The sequence below is a fragment of the Homo sapiens genome, chromosome 18 (genome assembly GCF_000001405.40).
Source record: "Homo sapiens chromosome 18, GRCh38.p14 Primary Assembly".
NCBI lineage: Eukaryota > Metazoa > Chordata > Mammalia > Primates > Hominidae > Homo > Homo sapiens.
The window spans coordinates 6,827,551-6,851,730 of NC_000018.10; the positions used below are offsets into that span (position 1 = coordinate 6,827,551).

The 24,180-nt window shown below is 39.1% G+C and overlaps 1 protein-coding gene across 14 annotated transcripts in view; it reads left to right on the forward strand.

The window, feature by feature from the left end:
- The window catches only part of ARHGAP28 (Rho GTPase activating protein 28), a 186,001-nt gene that overhangs the window by 97,835 nt on the left and 63,986 nt on the right, over positions 1-24,180 (forward strand). For 12 of the 14 annotated variants that reach the window (NM_001366230.1, XM_005258146.3, NM_001410873.1 and 9 more), the window contains 2 exons: positions 9,647-9,864; positions 23,484-23,576. In NM_001366230.1, coding sequence (NP_001353159.1) covers positions 9,647-9,864; positions 23,484-23,576 — 311 coding nt within the window. Of the gene's footprint in view, positions 1-6,934; positions 6,990-8,547; positions 8,626-9,646; positions 9,865-23,483; positions 23,577-24,180 lie in introns of those variants that run through there. The other 2 variants (XM_047437803.1, NM_001010000.3) reach the window with 2 other exon arrangements.

Consider the following 24,180-nt stretch of genomic DNA (forward strand, 5'->3'; position numbering starts at 1 on the left):
CCACCTCCCTCCCGGACGGGGCGACTGGCTGGGTGGGGGGCTGACCCCCACCTCCCTCCGAGACGGGGCGGCTGGCCGGCAGGGGGGCTGACCCCCCCCCCACCTCCCTCCTGGATGGGGCGGCTGGCTGGGCGGAGACGCTTCTCACTTCCCAGACGGTGTGGTTGCCGGGTGGAGGGGCTCCTCATTTCTCAGATGGGGCGGTTGCCAGGCGGAGGGTCTCCTCACTTCTCAGACGGGGCGGCCGGGCAGAGACGCTCCTCACTTCCTAGATGGGGTCGCGGCCGGACAGAGGCACTCCCCACATCTCAGACGATGGGCGGCCGGGAAGAGGCGCTCCTCACTTCCTAGATGGGATGGCGGCCGGGCAGAGACGCTCCTCACTTCCCAGACGGGGTGGCGGCCGGGCAGAGGCTGCAATCTCGGCACTTTGGGAGGCCAAGGCAGGCTGCTGGGAGGTGGAGGTTGTAGCGAGCCGAGATCACGCCACTGCACTCCAGCCTGGGCACCATTGAGCACTGAGTTAACGAGACTCCGTCTGCAATCCCGGCACCTTGGGAGGCCGAGGCTGGCAGATCACTCGCGGTTAGGAGCTGGAGACCAGCCCGGCCAACACAGTGAAACCCCGTCTCCACCAAAAAAATACGAAAACCAGTCAGGCGTGGCGGCACGCGCCTGCAATCGCAGGCACTCGGCAGGCCCAGGCAGGAGAATCAGGCAGGGAGGTTGCAGTGAGCCGAGATGGCAGCAGTACAGTCCAGCTTCGGCTCGGCATCAGAGGGAGACCGTGGAAAGAGAGGGAGAGGGAGACCGTGGGGAGAGGGAGAGACAGAGGAGGAGAGAGGAGAGAGGAGAGAGGAGAGAGCTCTTTAGTTTAATCAGGTCCCACTTGTCAATTTTTGTTTTTATAGAAATTGCCTTTGGGAACTTGGCCAAAAATTATGCCAAGACTGATGTCAGGAAGGATATTTCCTACATTTTCTTCTAGCATTTTTATAGTTTGAGGTCTTACATTTAAATCTTTAATCCATCTTGAGTTAATTTTTGTATGTGGTGAAAGGTAAGGGTCTAGTTTCATTCTTCTGCATATGGCTGGCCAGTTATCCCAGCACCATTTATTGAATAGGGAGTCTTTTACCCATTGCTTGTGAAACTAAACAGAAGATGGAAGAGTGGGGAATAAGCACCAATAAACAGTGTAATTGTCCTTAGTTCTCAAAAAGAGCAAAACTACTCATAGTGGATTAAAAGCATAGGTCAGTCATCTCTTCCAGGCCCTGTCTGTCAACAAGCAAATATGTAAGACATCCAAAAAAGACTAAAGGTAGTTTAGTAAGTATACACCTAAGAGTGTTTCCATTAGCCAGTGATTAACTTCAAGACAGTGGGCAGGATAAACTGAAACTTTAGAAAGTATTTTCATTCTTCATTCCCATTTCTGAGTCTCTTTCTCAGGACTAAGAAATCATTAAGATGTACCACAATTAACATACATCTGATATTATTTGAAATAAAACGCCCCACCACACATGTAACGAGAATCCATTCAAGGGAACCATCCTCCATCAGTGAAATGTATTCTTACTCCTATTACTTGCTTGCTTAGATTTTGCCTTTTCAGATCCAGAAAGACAGGAAGACACATAAAGGAAAATCCCTATCATCCCTTACCCCCTTTTTCTTACTATCTATCTATCCAGCTAGCTAGCTATTCATATTAAACACCACAAGTTCACAATAACCTCCAATTTCAGTCCAGCTCCACAGGGCTTGTTGCTGTCTTCCCTTTTTCTGTGTTTGTAACTCTCTTCTCCAATAGTGATAAACCTGGCTCCCACTCTGTACTTTATATTTACTCATTTGCTCAAACCTAGAATACACAGGAAATATTTTCAGGTTTGCTAACCTAACTGCTACAAAAGCAGACCTACTAATTACAGTTTGTTATTTATTTGCAGATTTTTTTTCCTTGAAGCATTTGCACAGATCTTAAACATACAATTCAATGAGCTTTGACAAACGCATGCACTCTTATAATCTCACACTGATCAAGATAGATAACATTTCAGTCAACCCAGAAAATTTCCTCATGCTTTTTCCCAGTCTCATGCCTCCCAATGACTTGCCAACCCTGGCCAGAGACAACCATGGCTCCCATGTTTTTGCATCATTAATTATTTTGGGGTTCGGCTTCTTTCACTGAGCATAGTTTTGAGATTCTAGTGGGATATCAATCGTTTATTTCTTTTTACTATTAAGTAGTTTGTTTCAGTTTACTAGGGCTGCTGTAACAAAGTACCACAAAACTAGTGGCTTAAAACAGCAGGACTAGCAGCCCAGCATTAAGGTGTCAAGCTGGGCCATGCTCTCCTGGAACCTTCTAGGGGAGAATGCGTTCCATGTCTGTCTCTTACCTTCTGGTGTTGCTGGCAATCCTTGGTGTTCCTTGGCTGTTGACACCACATTGTGCCATTTTCTGTCTCCATAGTCCATAGCATTCTCCCTATTTTTGTCTGTGTTTCTTCTCTTCTTCTTATAAAGATACCAGTTATGTTGGATTAAGGGCCCACCCTACTCCAGTATGACCTCATCTCAATTTTTTTCACTTCATTTATCATTTATTTGTGTTAGGAACATTCCAATTCCACTCTATTAGTTATTATAAAATATGCCATAGATTATTGTTAACTATAGTCACCGTACTGTGCTACCAAATTCTGGATTTTATTCACTCTTTCTTTTTTTTTCTTTACAATGTTATAATGTGAATGCTATTCTTTTTTTATTATTATTATACTTTAAGTTCTGGGGTACACGTGCAGAACGTGCAATTTTGTTACACAGATATACACGTGCCATGGTGTTTTGCTGCACCCATCGACCCTTCACCTACATTTCTCCTAAGACTATCCCTCCCTTAGCCCCCCAGCCCCTGACAGGCCCTGGTGTGTGATGTTCCCCTCCCTGTGTCCATGTATTCTCATTGTTCAACTCCCACTTATGAGTGAGAACATGTGACGTTTGGTTTTCTGTTCTTGTGTTAGTTTGCTGAGAAAAATGGTTTCCAACTTCATCCATGTCCCTGCAAAGGACATGAACTCATCCTTTTATGGCTGCATAGTATTCCAGCCTCATCTCAATTTACATCTTAATTGTGTCTGCAAAAGCTTTGTTTCCAAATAAGGTTATATTCATAGATACCAGGATTTAAGACTTCAACATACGTTTTTGGGGAACATAACTCAACCCATAACAGTAATATTCCATTTTATGAATATGCCACAATTTGTTTATCCATCTACTTTTAATTTGAGCCTTGTTTACAATTTTGCTTACAATGAATAATGCTGTTATGAGCAATCTTGTGAAAGTCTTTTTGTATAGATATGTTTTTATTTCTCTTGGATGTATGTATTTTTCATAGAATGTTTAACTACATAAGAAACTGTGAAACTGCCAGCATTTTTCCAAGTAGTTGTACTATTTTACACTCCTTCCAGCAGTGTATGACAGACAGTTCCATTTCCACATCATTGCAACACTTGATGCTTTCAGTCTCCATCATATGAGTGATTCTAGTGGATATGTGGGGTATCTCATTATGGTTGTAATTACATTTCGCTGATGACTAATGATGTTGAACTTTTTTCTTGTGCTTATTGTCTTTTCATGCATCTTGCTTTGTGAAAACTCTTGACTATTTTTTAAAACTTTTTATTACTGACTTTTTATTAAAACTTTTTATTACTGTATATTCTTGATACAAGTCCTTTGTCAGATATATGTATTGCAGATATTTTCTCACTGCTTGTGACTTGTCCATTCATATTCTTAATGAGATCTTTTAATTGGGTTTGCCTCTGTCTTTTCTGTTGTTTGTTGCTGGCATATAGAAATACAGTTCATTTTTGTATCTTGATGTTTTTTTTTTTTTTTTCTTTTTTTTTTTTTATTATACTCTAAGTTTTAGGGTACATGTGCACATTGTGCAGGTTAGTTACATATGTATACATGTGCCATGCTGGTTGTATCTTGATGTTATATACTATTAGCTTCCTAAAATGATTTTCTAGTGGTTGTCTACTAGATTTCTTAGGATTATCTACATAAGCAAACAGGTCATCTATGAATAGAGACAGTTTTCCTTTCTGATATTTTGTGCTTTTATTTTTTATCTTGCCTTATTGTACTGGCTAGGGCCTCTAGTACAAGTTAAATAGAAGTGGTGACAGCACTTACATATCCTTGTCATGTTCCCAGTTTTACAGGGAACGGGTTCAGTACTCACCATTAAACATGATGGTAATTGTAAACTTTCTGTAAATGCTGTTTACCAGATGTCTTTCTATTACTAGTTTTTCTGGCAGTAATGTGAATGGGTGTTGAATTATATAATGTGCTTTTCTAGTATGTTGGTTCTTTGAAAACAAATTAGTAAAATCTACATCTCCTTTTGTTTATGTTTTTGTGTTTAATTTGCTTTTTTCCTGGGTTCTTAAGATGGAAACCTAGACCATTAATTTTAAATCTTTCATCTTTTTGAATATGTACAGTTCTTTATAAGCATTGCTATCACTCCATCCCACAAATTTTGATATATCTTCATTATTATTCAGTTTTAAATGTTTTCTCAATTTCTTTGTGTATTTTTTAATTTACAAATTTTTGGGTTTTTTTCTAGACATGTTGTTATTGATTTCTAAGTAAATTGTGTTATGTAACATAGTTTATATGTTTCAGTTTTGAAATTTAGACTTATTTTATGGCTCAGAATATTGTCTGTCTTGGTCAAGGTTCCATGTGCACTTAAAAAGAATGTGTTTTACTTGTTGGTTAGTGTGGTGTTCTGTAAATGCTCATTAGATTAAGGTGGTGGTAACTTTAATCACATTTATTATGTTCTTACTAATCTTTGATTGATTTAACAAGTACTGAGAGAAGTTGTTAAAATCTCTAACTTTTATTGTGTATTTGTCTATTTTTTCCTTTTGTTCTGTCAGTTTTTGTTGCTTATAATTTGAAACTATGTTATTGGGTGCATATACATTTATGATTGTTACTCCTTGTTGAATTGACTCATTTTATCATTATAAATGAGCTTCCTCAATACTCTTAGTAATATTCCCTGTCTTGAAGTCTGCTTCGTCTAATAATATATAGTCATTCTGGCTTTCTTAGGGTTATAGGGTTATTGTTTGCAAGATATATCTTATTTCATCCATTTACTCTTTACCTATCTGTCTGTGTTTTTCTTCACAATTTCTTCATAGTTTCTATGCTTACATTTCAGCTATATTGCTTTAATTGGTGGTGTTGCTGTTCAGGCATTTTAATATTCATCCATAACTTATCATAGTCTACTTAGATAAATACTATGCTTCATTCACTATATCAAATATAAGAATCTTGCAGCAGTAGAATTTCATTCTTCTTCATGCCCAGTGGTTTATACTATTGTTTTATGTATAACATCTGCATATGTTGTACATACATCAATGCAATGTTGTCATTTTTGCTTTAAGTTGTCATATGTACTTATATTCTTTTAATTTTGAAATAATTCCAAACATATAGGGAAGTCACAAGTACAGTTTTAAAGACAGTTTCAGGGACCATTTGAGAGTAACTTGCCATCCTGATGCTCTATCACTCCCAAGTACTTTAGGTATTATATGTATATATACATACACACTTATATAGAGAGAAAGCCATTCGCTGTATAATCACAACATACTATTAAAATTAATAATTATTTTTATTATATTACTATCATCCAGTCCTCAGACTGCTATCGTTTCTAGATTACCTTTTATGACAAAAAAAGAAACCCTCCAGTTTAGAATCACTTGTTATATTTAATTGAAAAACGTGTTTCTCTTTCTTCTCTCTCTCTCTTTCTCTCTCTCTCTCCCCTTTACAGTCTGGAACAGTTTCTTAGCCTTTCTTTGAATTTTATGACCTTGACACTTGAAAATTGCAGGTAATTTTATAGATGCTCCTCTACATCAGACAAGTTGGGTTTGTCTGATGTTTCCCAATGACTTAGACTCAGGTTATACATCTTTGGCAAGTTGTGATGTTGTGTTCTTCTCATGGCATCCTGTCAGGTGGCTCATAATTTTAATTTGTTCTGTCACTGATGATGTCCACTTCAATCACTTACTTAAGGTGATATATACATGCAAGGTTTCTCCAGTGTGAACTTAGTCATTTCATTTTTGTAATTACTGTTATCTTGGGAGGTACCTTCAAACTGTATAAACATCCCACTCTACACCAAGTTATTTCTTTATATCAGAATGGACTCCTGGTTTATTTAGTGGGTTTATCTTTTACTGTCATTTATTTTGATGTTCAGATTGCCCCACATTTTATCTGGGAGTCAGTTAGGGAATATATATGGAGACTCTAAGCATCCCATTTAAAAACAACTGCTGAAAGCTGTTTTTAACTAACCAAGATTACAGATGTTGCATAGAGCAGGGCAAGCAGTGGAGGTTATGAGTCCAGTCAAGTTAACTGTGGGAACTAAAATGAACTCCCTTTAGAGCAGGATAAGGAATACAGCCTCTCTAATAGAGCACTCTGGAAGGTGTTGGTGTTAGAGTGATTAAAAAAAAAGCAGAATTTTTTTTCTCTCAAGGAGATGATAATCTAGTAGAAGAGAAAGTAATTAATGAAATAATATAAATATATTTGGAGGAGAAAATTACTTGAAGGAAGAAGAAACAGCAGTGTTAGGATTGATAGCAATAGGACATGACCTTATCTTGATGAGTTCAGGGAAAAAGAGGCTTTCCTGAGAAAAAGATGTAGAAACTGAGATCTGAAAGATGGGTGGCCAGTAATTATGAGGTCAAGTAGAAGGACTGACATGTCCAAAGACCTTGTGACAAAATAGAATGTTGAGTTTTTGAGGAATCCAAAGTAGGCCAGTATTGCCAGAGAACAGGAGAGGAGGAGAGTATGGTATAAGCATGTCCAGAAATGTAAGCCGTTTCACACTGTAGAATTATTTTTGTTTTCATTTGAAAGGGCTCATTTAGTTATAATATGGATAATAGATTAGAAGGGGATCAAGAATGGCATAGGAGGAACTGTTGCGAGTCTATCACAGCAATCCACAAGAGAGAGGATGTAGCTCTGACCAGGGTCACGGCAGAAGAGATAAAGGAAGGTGGACCTTTTGAGTAGTAATAACGAGGCAATATGAAAAGGCCTTGGGGGTGTGTTGGAGTTGATGTGTGAAAGAGAGGGAGATGTCAAGAATGCCTCCTGGTTATTCTCTTGCCTAATTACATTGGATGGTGGGTTTCGTGTGTTGAAATACGGAATCCTGAAAGAGGCCTAGAATTGGGAGTGAGAAATACGAGTTCAGGTTTGAACACAGTGAATATGACATATGAATGACAGAGCCAAGTGGATATTGAATAGGCAGTCAGATATATGGAACTGAAATTCAAAGGAGTTCTCTGTGTTGAAGTTATGTATTTGACAACTAGAGTGAGCAGCCAACAGGAGTAATACTGGTATCTGCCCTGAACATTTCTTACCTATGGAAAACATACATCCTACTTAGGCTGCAGTTTAAGGACTTAGACCATCCTCACCTCTGATTTATGTCAACTCCAGTCCTACCAAGTACTCTTTCCTCCCACTCTTTCATTACTCCTTACATAGGTGGAGGGGAAAAACAACTTTTTAAAATTTTAATATTAACATATTAAATATTAAATTGTAAATTTTGTCTTCAGAAATTAAAAGCTTATCTATAGCTTAAGGAAGAGCTCCATGTCATAACTCTTAACTTAAAGGGCTTACTACTTAGATTACGGCTGCCAATCATCAATTCACTTTTCATTTTTTTCTTAAAGGGACAGCTTACAAAGCAAATGAACAATTAAGATAGCAAATTAAATATTTGCCTAGCTAAGAAACTGGGCCTGTAATACACATCAAAGGCTTTGTTTATACACCAGTGATGCAATAATGTAAGCAGAATCCAGTACTAGACTAATGCTTTGGCATGCTGTTTACAAATTAGTCTAATCTGCTCTTTAAACAACCCTCACTTGGGTAATGCCTCCTTAGCATAGTTCCCAGAAACATATGTGTAGTAGATTTTCTGTTACAGGACACTGTTATTCTGATTTCCTTATATTTCTATATATTGAGGAATTTTAGGTTTTTGAATTTTCTTCTGAAAAAAAGAGATTAACATTCAGAATAAGGAGAAAGGTGGGAGAATGAACATCAATTGAATACCGACTTTCTTCCAGATTCTTTGCTACCTGTCATAAATACATTGATTTAAAAAAAAATCCTCATAGGCACCTAATCCTTTTGTTATTATTACTCTCACTGTTGTATTTTTCTCTAATTTGGTCTTGAGGTCTCTCTCGGGTGAGCAGCTATAAACTAACCCTGCTCTGATGGAGCTACAGGGGATTTGGTCACTGATGTTTGCCTTTCACAGGATACCTCTTTATCCTGGTGGGTGGCCTAAAACCTTCATGTTCAACCCATGACTGGGTGTCCCTCTTACAGGAAACTCGTTTGTACTGGCAGATGCTATAAGAAGAGAGCCCTGACTGGAAATAAGCTAGGTTCAGGTGTGTTGGCCAGGTGAGACACAGAGGAGGCAACTCAGCAAAACACATGAAATAAGAGAAAGAACAGATCCCAGGGAGAAGATGGCAGCTCGTCTCTCAGGGCCAATGGGAAGGGGCAGCCATCCGGGACACTTGCAATCAACAAGCAGGCAGGGAACAGGAAAGAGTGAGAGTGAGTGAGGGACCTGGGGACCAGAGCCTCAATTAGGATCCAAGCATTACCCAAGCAGGTTTCCCACCAGGAGTCCTAATTGGTGGGTTTAGAGCAAGCAGGGAGTCGCTCTGTGACTGAGATGTGGTCACTGCACCTTATCTGTGCAGTTCATGTAGTGGGTGTGGGTTGGTGGGATGAGTCAGGCAGGTTGTATCCAGCTGTCTCATAGGAAGTCACCACCAAGAGGTGATTGTATAAGGCAGATACCTGGATCTGCTATATGGAGGAATTGGGAGGAGTTGGACACCTGGAAACCACATCAAGAGTGACTAAGCCCTGCTTCTGGTATGAGAAAGTTAAGCCCATATTCAAAAGGGATGCCAAGACAACATAAAACTATAGAGGTTCACTATACTTATTTTGCTGAGAGGACACTGAGGCCTCGAGATATCGTTAAGACTTAGGAATCAGGCAGCTGGTGAATGGTGGCCCTGGCATTTGAACCTCCATGTGAGTGATTGAAAAACCAATTTGTATTCCATTAAGTAATGGGTTTTTTCTATTATAGTTTTACTTTAAATATTCATGTTTTATCACTTTTTGAAATTAGTAGGACAGATATGGCTCATGTTTAACTCTCTAGCAGGAAAATTTACCTTACCAAGTCTGCCAATTACCTTACTCTATTAGAAAATACTTTAAAATTTGACTTATTTTAAAAATACAGTGCAGACTTTCATTCATTCTTGTAGTTCTTTCCCATAATTACTGTAGAAAAAAAATACAAATATTATTTACCAATACTTCTTGTCTGATATTCACATGGCATCCAATCATACAGAAAATATTCTAACCCTCTCTTGGTAATGTTCTTTCACAGAAGGAGAACTTGAAGCAGAATGGCTGCAAGATGTGGGTTTATCAACTCTGATCTCAGGTGATGAAGAGGAAGATGGCAAAGCCTTGCTCTCCACATTGACTCGAACCCAAGCAGCTGCCGTGCAAAAGAGATACCATACCTATACCCAAACCATGAGGAAAAAGGATAAGCAATCTATCAGGGATGTCAGAGACATTTTTGGAGTCAGTGAATCTCCTGTAAGTAATGGCTCAAACATGGCTCAAAAGGCGCCTAGTTTGACTGGGGATGGGGTAGGGTGGGGCTGGGGTGGAAAAAATATCAGAAATGTCTGCTTGGGTGGTTCCATTCTAACTTTTTGAGAAAACTAAAGCAGACAGCACAGTGCAAATTTTTACAAGTTTGAACTTAAGTGATCATTTCTTATCTCCTGTACTGCAATCTCCCTCAATACTAAACTTATTCCCTTTGTTGAAATCAGAGAGTGACTTCTTTGGCAGTGGAACAAGTCTTTGTGGGTAGGATCCGGGGACCCTTTACTTAAATTTAAGCACTGAATGGAAACTCTGTGGTCGGGCAAAGGAGTCCTAGGGAAGTAAGCAAGACCAGGTGGTTTGGTTGAATGGGGGGTGGGGATGAGAGATTGGGTAGGGTAGCCTTTATGTTCAGATAAATTAAAATGGTCAAAAAATGGAAGATACCAGCATTAATTAAGTGGGCAAGAGAATGATTCAGAAAAGCATAAGGGAAACATCCCATGTTTTATGATAAACGGCTGGTTGAAGTTCTAGCTTACCCTTAGCAATTTCATGTCCACAATTTTACATCTAAGGCTATTACTCATGTTTTCCTATGTCTACATTTGTTTTACTGCTAGCTCTGTCTTATAGCTTACTTGTTCATTTATTCATTGCACAATTGCAATGTTACATTACAATAATTGCATCACAGATGCGACAGATGCATTATCTGCGCAAGATCCTAGGTTAGGTTCTATGCAGATGGGATTCTTGAAACATTTGGGATAACTAGTATATAGAAAAAAGGAAATTTGATGGTCAGCTGCAATTAGAGATAAGTTACCTGGGCAAGCTAGTTAATCATTCTGATTTAGGTTTCTTGTCTGATTAATTATAGTATCAATAATGGCATACATTAAAACTTCAGGGGTATTGAGTAGAAATCATGGTTGAAGACAGTCTCCAATTTGAATTACTTAAGGTTGTCTGTAAGTCATATCTTCTTTTAGTTAAAGTAGTCACATTGGGTAGTTGCCAAGGCGGCTCATATAGGCCCAGTTAACCTTTGCATTTGTGCTAACAGTGTCCTAGAATAGCACTGTCCTTTAGAACTTTCTATAGTGATGGAAATAGTCTACTTCTGTCCAGTATGGTAGCTCCAGATACATATGACTACCAACACTTTAAATGTGGCTAGTGTGAGAAGTTGAATTTTTAATTTTTCTTAATCTTAATAGATTTAAATATGAACAGTCACATGTAGCTTGTAGCTTATGTATTGAATAACATAGTTCTAGAATCTTCTGCCATATATAATGATATAACTTATGGTAAGTGCATTTTGAGTTCTGAGCTATTTGGACTTTCAACCTAGTGTAAACCTGTGTCTTTCTGGATGGTGGGATTGTCTACAGCTGTAACTGAGTAAAGGTGACTTCCACAATGTGAGGCAAGGACATTAGCTACAGGTGTCCTGACCAAGATGCCTACTGTAGTAAAAGGTTGCCTTGCTGGTTTAAATTCTTTGGGCCTGACATTTTTGTATTTTTCATCTGACCATCCGTATCAGATGTTCTTATTCAGACATCACCCAGCAGCATCATGGTTTATGATCAGCAACTGTGGTCCTTATGTCTAGTGGCACTTAGAGTTCTTTATGCTATGATACTGCAGCAGTACCAAGGGATGATTTTATGGGAAATTGGGATAGACTCCACAACAACAACCAAATAAATGAAGGACAAGTAACGTGTCTTGTGGGTTTTGAAAAGGCTATTATACTTCTTAACAATCTTTTTGAAAGTCTTCAGGGACTTTCTACTTGAGAAGCAGTACTCAAATGCTTTGTTTTAGTTAGATTCACATTAACCAGCATAATTTTTTTTTTTTTTTTTTTGAGACAGCGTCTCGCTCTGTCGCCCAGGCTGGAGTGCAGTGGCGCAATCTCGGCTCACTGCAAGCTCCGCCTCCCGGGTTCACGCCATTCTCCCCCCTCAGCCTCCCGAGTAACTGGGACTATAGGCGCCAGCCACCACGCCTGGCTAATTTTGTTTTTCTATTTGTAGTAGAGACAGGGTTTCACCCTGTTAGCCAGGATGGTCTCGATTTCCTGACCTCGTGATCCGCCTGCCTCGGCCTCCCAAAGTGCTGGGATTACAGGCGTGAGCCACTGCGCCCGGCCATAATTTTTTTAGATTAAGAGTTAGTGCAAGTTTCTAAGTCAGCCTCCCCCTTCACTTGCATTTTATTTGGTGTTTGAAGAAAGGAAAGAGGAAAGCAAATATGAATTGTACTATTTGTACTAAATCTTCGAGATTTATTGACAAATTTGTTTCAGGGTGGTATATTAGAAAAAGGAAAACTTTGTTTCCTAGGCTGAAGGTCTAATTGATTAATACCTTTGACTTATGATGATCATTCCTGTTCATTTGACTTATGATGTGCATTTGACTTGTCATGATCATTCATGTTCATTCGAAATTCATCTTTCTAATGGATTTTCTTTCAAAATAAATGAAGAGCAACTCTCCTTCTTTCCACTTTTAAGCATTCAGATATGGCAAGCTCAGATGTTCTGCTGGGTTCTAGCTGGAGCACTGGGATACCCTTCTGTTCTGGTGGCTTCTTTCTTCCTTTCTTGTATCCCCCGAAGTGGATCCCAAAGATACACAGTACCTAGTAGACTCCAGCTGGTGGGAGACTAGAAAAACTGCAAGTGGGTGATTTGCTATTACTGTAAATAAAAGGAGGGCCTGAGCCTGGGAATTCTTCTGAAAACAAAAATTCCCTGGGTTATTTTTCAGTTGTGTCCGGGATCATCTTGAGAGGGTCCTAAAATCTTTGCATCCATGCTGCCTTTCTCACTTCTATTTCCAGATGCTTCAGACTTTGAATTTTGCTTTTCTCTAGGAAACTGCATTTCTAGGCTTTTCCCAAATCCTCCATTTACTCAGTGCATTACTAGAGAATGCATAACTGTTCTCTTCAGATTTCCTAAGACTTTGGACTTCTAGTAATGTAAAAACAGCAAGGTAAAGGGTATTTTTTGTGCACCTTCTTCTTTCATTTAGACCACGAAGGGAAAGATATAGTGCTCAGTTCCTCAAAATGAAATTTCTTTTGCTTCACTGAGACAGGCAAATGGAATAAACTGGTGTCTAACTCCTGGAAAGACCAAAAGAGGGCCTAACAGGGTGCATTTGTGGTGAGGAGTGAGGAATGGCCCAGGGTTCTTCCTTCCGTCTGCCTTCCTCTCTTTCCTCCCAGTCCTGCTGCTGAAGTCTCAGTTCTAGAGAGAATTGAGAATGGGGACTAAGGAAGTGGGTGGGCACAGGAGAAAGAAAGACCATGTATTCTAGGGAGTTAAAAGGGCTTGTGCTGTCTTGGAAAATAGCGCAGTCAGTGAAATGAAATCAGTGTAAGTTTGGCATTGTATAAGCTGCTTAGAAAATTCAGATTGTTCCTTGTCAGAGATGTAAAAAGCTATATAAACCTCACTTTTGAAAAAATATTTACAATATATAAGGCCTAAGAAACATCTTCACAGATGTTGTTTCCTAAAAAATTCGGCATCTGTTTTTGCAAGAAATTTGGAAGCTTCTAGAGAATGTACCTGAACTTTTTCAGTTTTCTATTTGAATTTGACAACATAAACACCAATTCCTCTGTTCCTCCTCCTGTCCTGTGTCTCTGGGGTCCTTCTCTTCTCTCTCTCTCTCCTCTCTCACTGTCTCTCTCCTCTTTCTCTCTCTCCTCTCTCTCTCTCCTCTCTCTCTCTCTCTCTCTCTCCTCTCCTCTCTCTCTCTCTCCCCCCAACCCGCCCCCACCAATTGTGTGTCTCCCTCCCTATCCCTTGGTCTCCCTCCCTATTCCTTCTTATTCTTTCTTTGGCATCATTTACCTACATTAATTGAATAATTACCTAAGATTTTCCATTTCACTTTCTTAGTGAAGTCTTATAATCAGTTTCATAAGGAGATTTTGCATTAATCTTAGATGTATAAATTTGACCCAATATACTTATCTAGTAAGGATATAAGTAAGATAGATAAGTATAAGATACTTATATCTTTATATTGTATAAAATACTTATAAAGATATAAGTATTTATCTTATATTTATCTATAAATTCAGTAATTTAGAAAATAGATATGTAGATTATGCTGGTTCTTCTCTTAATTTTTTTTTGCACATAGAATCCCATGCTCAAAATCACTTGACTTCAGAGTTTGTAAGATATGGGTCCATTATCTTTTCTTATGTACCATTGCTGTGGGGAAGTACAATGTCTGCATCAATCCTGTTCCTTTACATAACAGATGGGGAAGCTTTTGAATTTTATTTTTATTGCTGGAAACTTGAAATTTCACCAACTTTATCTTTTTAAAAAATTCATCCTGGTCAGTACTAAGCGAGCCCTTGCAATCTGAGAACTAGTTCATTTTTCAGGTTCTACATATTTTCTTGTAGCATTTAAAACAAGTATTTGTTTGTTCACTTTATTTTCTCAATTATCTCCTTCTGAAACTCCTGTTAGATGATTGTTGCACTGTTTGGATTGAACCTCTGTGTCTCTTAAATGTTCTTATATTTTCCAAGCTTATTTTGGCCATGGCTGTTTTAACATTTATGCCTTCATTCTTTAAAAATTTGGCCAGGCATGATGGCTGACACCTGTAATCCCAGCACTTTGGGAGGTCAAGGCAAGAGGATGGCTTGAACTCAGGAGTTTGAGACCAGCCTGGGCAGCATAGCGAGACCATGTCTCTACAAAAAAAATTTTTTTAAATTAGCCAGTTGCGGTGGCACGTACCTGCTGTCCCATGCCTGTTGTTTCAGCTACTCAGGAGGCTGAGGTGGAAGAGTCACTTGAGCCTGGCAGGTCAAGGCTGCAGTGAGCCATGACTGGGCCACTTAACTCCAGCCTGGAAGACAGAATGATAGATCCTGTCTCAAAAAGAAAAAAAATTTAATGGTCATATTGCTAATTTACTGAAGTCCCTCCCCTTGCCCTGACTTCCCTGTCATTATAGCTAGCATCTGTTGTTGTTTCTTGACTGCAGTAGCCTCTCAGCACTCTGAAGGTAATAACTAAATTAAACCTTAAATTTCAAGTTCTCTTCTTTTCCTTGAATTTTCTGCTCCCTTCAGAGTCATGTGTTTATTTTAGCATCGTTGTTTTTCTCTTCCATTGTCGTTGCTCTGTTGACTTTGATCCTTGGGTGTTGATTTATGTTAATTAAGAAATGACTAGATTGACAGATTGATTAGTATGGTAATGGGAGTTGTATGGTCCTCTTTTCTCCCAGAACTCTCCTGTGAATAGGAGTCTGGGCCTTTTTGAATGGTGAAGTGTGTTTACTGTCATCCTCCACTTAAGACACATACATACGGGATTATGACACCTCTGAATCAAAATATCCCATATACCCCATAAATATATATACCTACCATGTACCCACAAAAATTAGAAATTAAAAAATAACATTTGACATGTGCCCATTTTATGTTTGTATGAGTCATATTTTTAAGTTTAAAAATTCCATGTTGATAATATAAAAATTAAAAAAATGTAAAATATTTTTTAAAAGACATGTACATATGGTATCAATGCCAAAGTCATGGGAGTCCTGAAGAACTGTAATTTATTTCCTTTTCAAGCAAACTGAACTTCTCTTTTTATACACTATTCCACAAAGAATAGTGTCTATTAATGTGCCTGGCATTTAGTAGGCGCTCAGCATGGGTTGATAAATTGCTATATTTCCTTTTAGAAGGCTCCAAGTGAAATGCAATTCAGCCTTCTGCCTACAACACCCTCACTGGGACAGCCGCCACTGCCACCGAGGCAGGTGTCACTCATCACCGAGAGTTAACTACTGCCGCTCTTCAGTGTCTGGAAGGGAAGGGTCTGCCTGGCCTCTTTGTTCTGAAAAATATTTTCCAGTTACTTTGGTTCTTCTGAGTGGGGTGCCTCCCTGATCCTTTTATTTTGGTTCTGGAAATGGGCTTTTTCTGGATCAGCCTTTACTTTCTACGCATTTTTCTCTTGTGCCTTTTTACAGGCTGAGGTTTTCCTCTACCCCTATCAAACCATTCCTGCCTGATTTTTATCTGCCAGGAACTTCCAACAATTTCTGTTCTGTTAATGGAAATGTTCAGTGGTCTTTAGAACTGCACGTTTAAAAAGACATCTCTTTTGACACTTGGAGTAATTTGCAGGGACAGGAGAAGGTAGCCTGTGCATTTTGCTATCTTGATTGAATTTTCTTGTGCTGATTTTTCAGTAGTACTTATTCCTTTCAGAAAATAAATGTGTTTTTTCTTACAATGAAAGTAATACATAATTGTTATTGGAAACTTAGAAAATATGGACAGGCAAGGTGAAGAATGACAATTTCTATGGGTTCAAAGAAATGTTATGATTTCACTAAATATCTAATACATTTAGTTTTTCAATGGAGTTTTTATAATAAAGGAATAGACATTTAACCTTTGTTTTAGTTGTATATTAAATCAAAAATGTTAAATCAGTCTCCGGATACATCACGCATGGTTTACAGTCCTGTTCAGCGTGAGCAGAATTCCAGTACCCAAATACATTTTCCAACATTCATAAGATCTGAATTAAATGTTCCTTTCAGTGACACATTTAACTGGGCAAAATAGTCGATTTAATTTATCTCCAGCTTCATAATTGATAAGCAACTAGCTAAAAGTGGAATTGATGTACAACTGACTATATAAATATATAGTATGCTGTAAAAATGATTATATAACATATATATACATTTGGCTGCACATAACAGAAAACACAAGAAATAATGTGTTATACAAATATGAGTTTGTTTTTCTCTCTGAAGAAGACGATGTAGGTGGTGTTATTCCCTACCATGAATCCAGTTTCTTTTTGTCTTTCTTTTTGGCTTTCATAAAAACAATCAGGACACTTAAGGAAGACAACAGACTGGATTTGGGGTGCACAGTTGATAGTGTCTTCCACAGAGAATAGTGTCTATTAATGTGCCTGGCATTTAGTAGGTGCTCAGTATGGGTTGATAAATTGCTAAATGCAATGACGAGTGCATAGGTAATCATAGCTATGGTTATCTCCACAAATCTGTATGAATGTACACATATTATACATAACAAGTGATTTATTGCACAATTAAATTTCGGAAACATAAATAAAATGCACTTTCATTTTTTTCAATAGCCAGATGATTTTTTGTATCCCAACTCCTCTTTTGGATGTGACTCTGGATAAAGAGGAGGTATTATCAATTCCCTGTAGAAACGGTCAACTGGTAAGTTAAGGCAAGGGAAACTGAGTGTAAGGAGGTTAGAAAAAAAAATTATTTCAAGACAGTTAGAAAAACTAATGAAAAAATGCCCACTTATATGGAAACAGTGAAGAAAAAAGGAGACTCTTAAACTCAGGAATAAATAAATAGTTAAATTCACAAATAATTATATGCCCTACCTTTAATAACAAAAATAACAACACCCACGGCAATAGCTGCAGCCAGAAGTCAAAGTGTGGGGGAAGATGTCAGATCAATTTTGTTCTCTTGGATGAGCTTATAATGGAAAATCTTGAGCTACCCTCCATGTATCCTTTAGTATTAATTTAATTCCCACCATAAGAAATATTTTGACATTTCAGTTATTTTCTTTTCATTTTGAGACTGGGTCTTGCTGTCACCCAGGCTGCAGTGCAGTTGCACAGTCGTAGCTCGCTGTAACCTGGAACTCCTGGGCTCAATCAGTCCTCCCACCTCAGCCACCCTGGTAGCTGGGACTACAACTGCACATTGCCATGCCCAGCTAATTTTTAAATTTTTTATAGAGATGAGGTCTCATTATGTTGCCCAGGCTGGTCTCAGACTCCTAGCCTCTTCCTTCCTAAAGTGCTGGGATTACAGACATGAGCCACCATGCCCAGATCAGTTATTTTATAAAGGTAAATATCTTTCTTTGTTGGAATTAGAATTGCATTTTTTTCTTCAGCTTTTATTTTAAGTTCTGGGGTACATGTGCAGGATGTGCAGGTTTGTTACCTAGGTAAACATGTGCCATGGTGTTTTGCTGCACAGATCAACCCATCACATTGGTATTAAGCTCTGCATCCATTAGCTGTTCTTACTGATGCTCTCCCTCCCCCGATCCTGGACAGGCCCCACTGTGTGCTGTTTCCCACCATATGTCCATAATGTGTTCTCATCATTCAGCTCCCACTTATAAGTGAGAACATGCAGTGTTTGGTTTTCTGTTCCTGTGTTAGTTTGCTGAGGATGATGGCTTCCAGCTCCATCCATGTCCCTGCAAAGGACATGACCTCATTCCTTTTTATGGCTGCATAGTATTCCATGGTATATATGTACCACTCTAAATGTAAATATCATGGGAAGCAGCACTATGTCATCTTAAATGTGTAGTGATAAGTGGGAAAAAGTACACTATCTAGCACAGGAAGTGAACACATTACATCAGAGCCCATCTTGTCCATTTTAGTACAGAGTTTCAAAGAATGCTAATCTGAGTTCATGACTGCCAATGAATCTGTCTCAGTAGAAGGCTTTATTTCTATGAGATGAATCCCATGCATGATCTATACCATGTGTCATGAAGCTTGGGTCCACCTTTTGAAATGGTGCATCGTGAATAGGAGCGATAGAAGGACGGGGGTTTGCTGACACCTGCCTCCACCTGGATTCATGGTGGCAGACCATTTACAGTGAGAAACTTTCCTCTGTTATACTTCAGTATGTTTCCTTCTCTTTAACTTTAGTTTTTTTCCTTCCTGTTAAGGGAAGAAGGATTCTTTGCTGTTCCAAGAATAATTCCTTTTCCCACCCTTGATGTGATGAAGATGGCGATGATGATGATGATGGTGTTTTGTTTCTGTACAGTTTCTTTTTATGTTACATAGATTTCATGTGGGGCACTCTATCTGGAAGCAGGTTCTTGGTCTCTCCTAAGAGTCTGCTGAGTGGTTTGGATGTGGCCAGTTTGTGTTCTGGCCGCTCTTCTGTTGCCTGAAGGTAGACCGAGGTCTGGACGTGGAGTGTAGTCAGTGGGTGCTGTGAGCAATCCTGTTTTGCAGATTTTGTCTCTATTTTTTTTTCTAATTCAATCCTTTTTCTAATTTTATTATATTTTTCCGAAGTGTGCTAACACCTTCCAGTCATACCTTCCTTCCCACCAGGACACTTGGCCCGAGGTGTTTGCCCCTCTCTGCTGTCCCCATTCCCCTTACTGCAGCCAGCGTCTCACCCCTCAGCCAGAAGAGGGCAAGTCAGAGCAGACACTGAAGCCTTTCCAAAAAATGGGTTTCTGTGAGCCTTATGTCCCACCTGGCTCTGCCTTCTATTTTGGTTGTCTTCTCTTTACCCCGTTGGTGAGGGAAAGCTCTCCACCCTTGGATTATGAGAGTGGCTGAACACACAGCACCCAACACTGGTCACATGAAATCGACAGCAGTTTATTAGTCACGTTTCCTCACAGCTTGGGAGAGGAGGACACCGCATGCCACACAGGGCCACATGTAGGCTGCTCTTGGGAACAGGGTGAGCAAGTGGGGTCTGCAGGCTTTGTAGCATCAAGAGGGAAGGCTGTTCCCTGGCTCCCACAGGAGGAGGTGATTGGCTTTTGAGTGATTCCATAGGCTGGCAGGGAACTGAAATACTACTCAGAGATACACAAGAACTGTCCTCTGGATAAGGAGGGTTGTTTGGCTGGGGGACCTTCTCTGCAGGAGTACGGCAGGGAGAACCTGCTATTAGGCCACCTGATTTCACCAGATTTCCAGGCAGCTTATCTTATGGAGCCCTAATTTCAATCTCACACCATACGCACACCCCCACCCCTAACAAGGGACTCTCATTATTCTGGGCTTATTTTATTTATTTTCTCTTGTACCTTTTTATCCTTACGTTCCATATTTTGCCTTCTTCCAAACTAGAGGAAAAATATATGGTGAGTTTTCACAGAACTTCTTCTCTCTCAGTATATTAGAGAGGGACTTCTATTTTAGACTGGTATGTTGCATCCTCTGTGAGTAGATTTTTAAATTGGACTGCAGATGTTGCATCAGGCAAGCAGAGGCCAATAAGGTCTGAAAAATATGTTTCTTACCTTTTTCGAATCTAACCATACGAAGCAGAAGATAACAATGTAGATAATCACGAAAGGATGAGAGAGAGAGAGAGTGGGGGTGTGTGTGTGTGTGTGTGTGTAGGTTAGACAAGTGGTAATCTTCAAACACTTATATATGGTATTGTAAAATATATTAGCTTAAATATCAAAAATACATAATCTGGTTTGCCCATGGGTGAGGGATTCCCGAGACCATGCCCAGGTTCAGTGGTTTAGAAGGACTCACAGGATGCAGCAAATAGTCCTACCCATGGCTGGAATTGTTACTGCAAAGGGATACAGAGCAAAATCTGCAAAGGGAAAGGTGCATGGAGCGAAGTCCAGGGAATCTACGCAAGCTTCCGAGAGTCCTCTCTCTGGGAGGTAATGTAGGACAAGATTAATTCCTCCAGCAACAAACTGTTTCTACCAGGAAAGTTCATTTAAGCCAAGGAGCCCCAGGTTTTTATTGGGGGTTGATCATGTAGGCACCCTCTACCTAGTATGCCACAAAATTCCAGACTCCCAGAAGGAACGCAGGTGTTCAGTATAAGTCATATTGTTTGCACAAAGAGTTTAGGATCCATGAGCCAGTCATAACATTGAGGAAATAGTGGGAACCTCCTGAAACTCAGATTCTCAGTTGCCAGCCCAGGGGCCTGCCTTGCAAAACAGGCCTTCCTGGGGAGAGTATGTCAGCCCTGCTATGGTACTCTTTTCTGCAGAGCTCTCAATATAATATATTTCTAGGTGTATGGGGAGTAAAACTTCCCTCATTTTGCCTTTATCTTCTCTTCTTCCCTTAAAAAGTGATGATCAGGGTCAGGTTTATAGGGTAATCACCATGAAACAATTGTAGGTATTTAGTGAACACTCACTAAGTGCCTAGCACTCTGGACAACAGCAGTAAAGTAAGGAGACATGGCCCCTGCATACAGGATTTTTATATATTAGCTTAAAAGTGAATTTAAAATGCAAACAAAAGCAATGGTGATGGTTAGAAGGTGAAACATGGTAATTCACAGTTATCAGGTAAGGTAACAGTTGGCCTTTGAGTGGAATGTTTATGAAATGATTTTACATCGGCCAAAGGGGAACATTAACTCATCTTGCGTTTGTCTCCCCTTGGCTGCCACCCACCCCAAACCAGCTAAGCTATGCCAACCCATTGGCTGTCACTTTGGGGTAAGTAAAGCAGTTCTGTCTTGAGCTCCATGTGAAAGAGTGAATAATCAAAGTACCAGAAGGATCTCAGGCATCCTCAGGACATGCAAACAGAAGCATAATCACAGCAAGTCTCCTCTGTCCCTTCTGTTTCCCAGTCTCCCCATGGGCAAAATATTCTCTCACTTGGCTTTCACTATGCCTTTCATTTCAAATCATTGAAGGTCATACCACCTTTTAAAGGCTGATCAGGGCCAGGTGTGGCAGCTTACACCTGTAATTCTAGCACTTTTGGAGGCCAAGGCAGGAGGATCTCTTGAGCCCAGGAGTTTGAAACCAGCCTGGGTGAAAAAGCGAGAACCTGTCTCTAGAAAAAAAAAAAAATTAAAAAAATTAGCCAGATGCAATGGCATGTTCCTGTAGTCCCAGCTATTTGGGAGGCTGACACGGGAGGATCCCTTGAGCCCAGGTGTTCAAGGTTGCAGTGAGCTGTGATCTCACTGTTAAACTCCAGACTGGGTGACAAGACCTTGTCTCAAAAAAAAAAAAAAAAAAAAAAAGTTAACCGGGGTAAGCGTGGTGCCAAACACATGAAGAAACTTCTCACTGAGATAGAAGAGAACACTGAAGTTATTCTAGCCATACCTGTGAGCTGCTGGGCAGTTTATGGAATGAGGTGGCAGGCACTGTCCTGTCCTGCAGAAGGATGATGAAGGAGAGTATAATGAAATGACTACGTAGAACAGTAAAAATACCAACTTACATAATCACATATATTACAGAATGTTACATCTTCTTAGCAGATTGTGCCTTTTACTCTTTGAGCAAATCTGGCAAGAAATGTCTCTGGATACTAAATTTTTATAATCCAAAAAACTTAAATCCTAAATTGGTGAGTATCAAGATGCTAGGCCCTAAATCGGTTTCCTACAGTAATGTATAGCTATTGGCCCATCTGCTTTTTCATACTGTGTTATTGTTGAGAAGTCTGATGCCTCCCTAAAACTTATTCCTTTATTTATATCCTGCTTTCATTTTTATATTTCTGGAAACCTTGTAGGTGTATTTTTATTGTTGGAGAACTGAATATCATTAGGATATGAAATCTTTTTTTTTCCATCATCATCAGCACTCAGCTTTTTGTTTCTGATAACTCTTGCTTTCCTTTGAATTCTGAACAGTCTCTTCCAAGTATTTCTGTAATTATTTCTTTCTCTCCACTTTTTCTATTCTTCCTTTCACTGCTTGGATTAAACTCACATATCTTAAATTGTCACTTATTTTCCGTATATTTTTTCTATTTGTATGCTAGTAGATTTTGCCTGCATTATTCTTGTAGAGACTTAATTTTAATGTTTATCATGCGTAATTATAACTTGGCCCCTGTTGCATTTATAATTCAACAATCATACTGTTAATTCACAAGAATGCCTCTTTTTTCACTGATTTCCCCTTTATTGTTATACTTAGTTCCTGACTTCTTGTTACAACCGCCTCTCAGATCTCTCTAAAATTATTAAATAATTATAAATGTTCTTCTCTTTCCTCAATTATCTGCTTTTTGTAGAATGTTTATCACTGTACTTCTTTTTCATGATGTTGGTTTTCTCTTGATACTGGTTTACAAACCATTGCAAAATACAATCACAAAGTCTGGCTTTAAAATAGCATGGTTTTGTCAGTTAGATCAGACTTAGACAATTAGAGGTTTACTTTTCTTACAAAACAAGAGGCTTAAGGAGAAAGGCAAAGGCTGGTATGGCTGCCCTGGCAGTGATCTATCAATTTTTTCTTCTTTCCATTCTGCCACCCTTAGTGTATGGGCCAATTGTTAATACCTACAGGATGTCTGGACATCACATGCACCATGTCCATGCTTCTGAAAGACGCTGACTTCATCCACTTTCACAAGAAAACATTAGCTTTCCCAGACACTCCACCAAGTAGAATTACATTCATATCTTACTGGATGGAACCATCACATGATCACACTCAGTCTTTTTAGTTAGAACATACCATCTTGGAGCAAAATCATGATATTCATAAGTTAGGAAAGAAAAGAAAGTGGGTTTTGGCAGGAAGCTAGCAGAGTTTGCTTCTGAGACGAATTCTGTTACAGTACATGGCATTTATGAGGATCAATGTAATTATGAATGAATTGGTAAGTGCTGTTATCAATGCCCAGGTAGTCATTAATTGTATATATCTCCAGGCAGCTGTACATATATATAAAAACTCTAGTGTAATGCATGTGTGAATACGCAGTCATATTTGGAAAGATATGCCTGGATAAACGTGGCTTTCATTTCTTCCGTTAGCCTCGTGATACCTGTGGCAACCACACTAATCAGCTGGATGGCACCAAGGAAGAAAGAGAGCTTCCAAGAGTTATCAAGACAAGTGGTTCCATGGTAAGTTATAGTTGTGGGGGGATGGTGGTAGGCATGAAATAAGCCATTTCTTCAAGATGGTTGAGCAAAACTTGAAAAAAGTGCAACATAATTAAGATGGCTGGACAACCACAGATTTCAACACACTTATCTACCTTAGGTGATTTTTAAGGAAAATATTCAGCAGTAAATGAGCTCAAGTTGAGTAGTTAAGCTCGTGAAAATGTGCTCAGCATTATTAATGATTATGGAAATGCGAAGAAAGCCACAATAAGATATTTCTAGATACCCTATAGAATGGCTAAACTTAAAAAGACTGACAATACCAAGCAGTGCCAAAGATTCAGAGCAATTAGAACTTTCATATATTGTTGTTAAGAATGTAAAATGTTTTATCCACTTGGCAGCATCTTAAAATATTAAGGATATACCTACTATAAGACCCAACCGTTCTACTCATAAGTAATATATATACACACAGACACTTATCCACAATGTTTATAGCAGCTTTATTTGTAATAGCCCCCAAACTGAAAATATCCAGATGGCCATTTGCAGGTAAATGGATAAAAAAAATTGTGGTATATCCACAAAATGGAATATTACTCAGCAATAAAAAGCAACA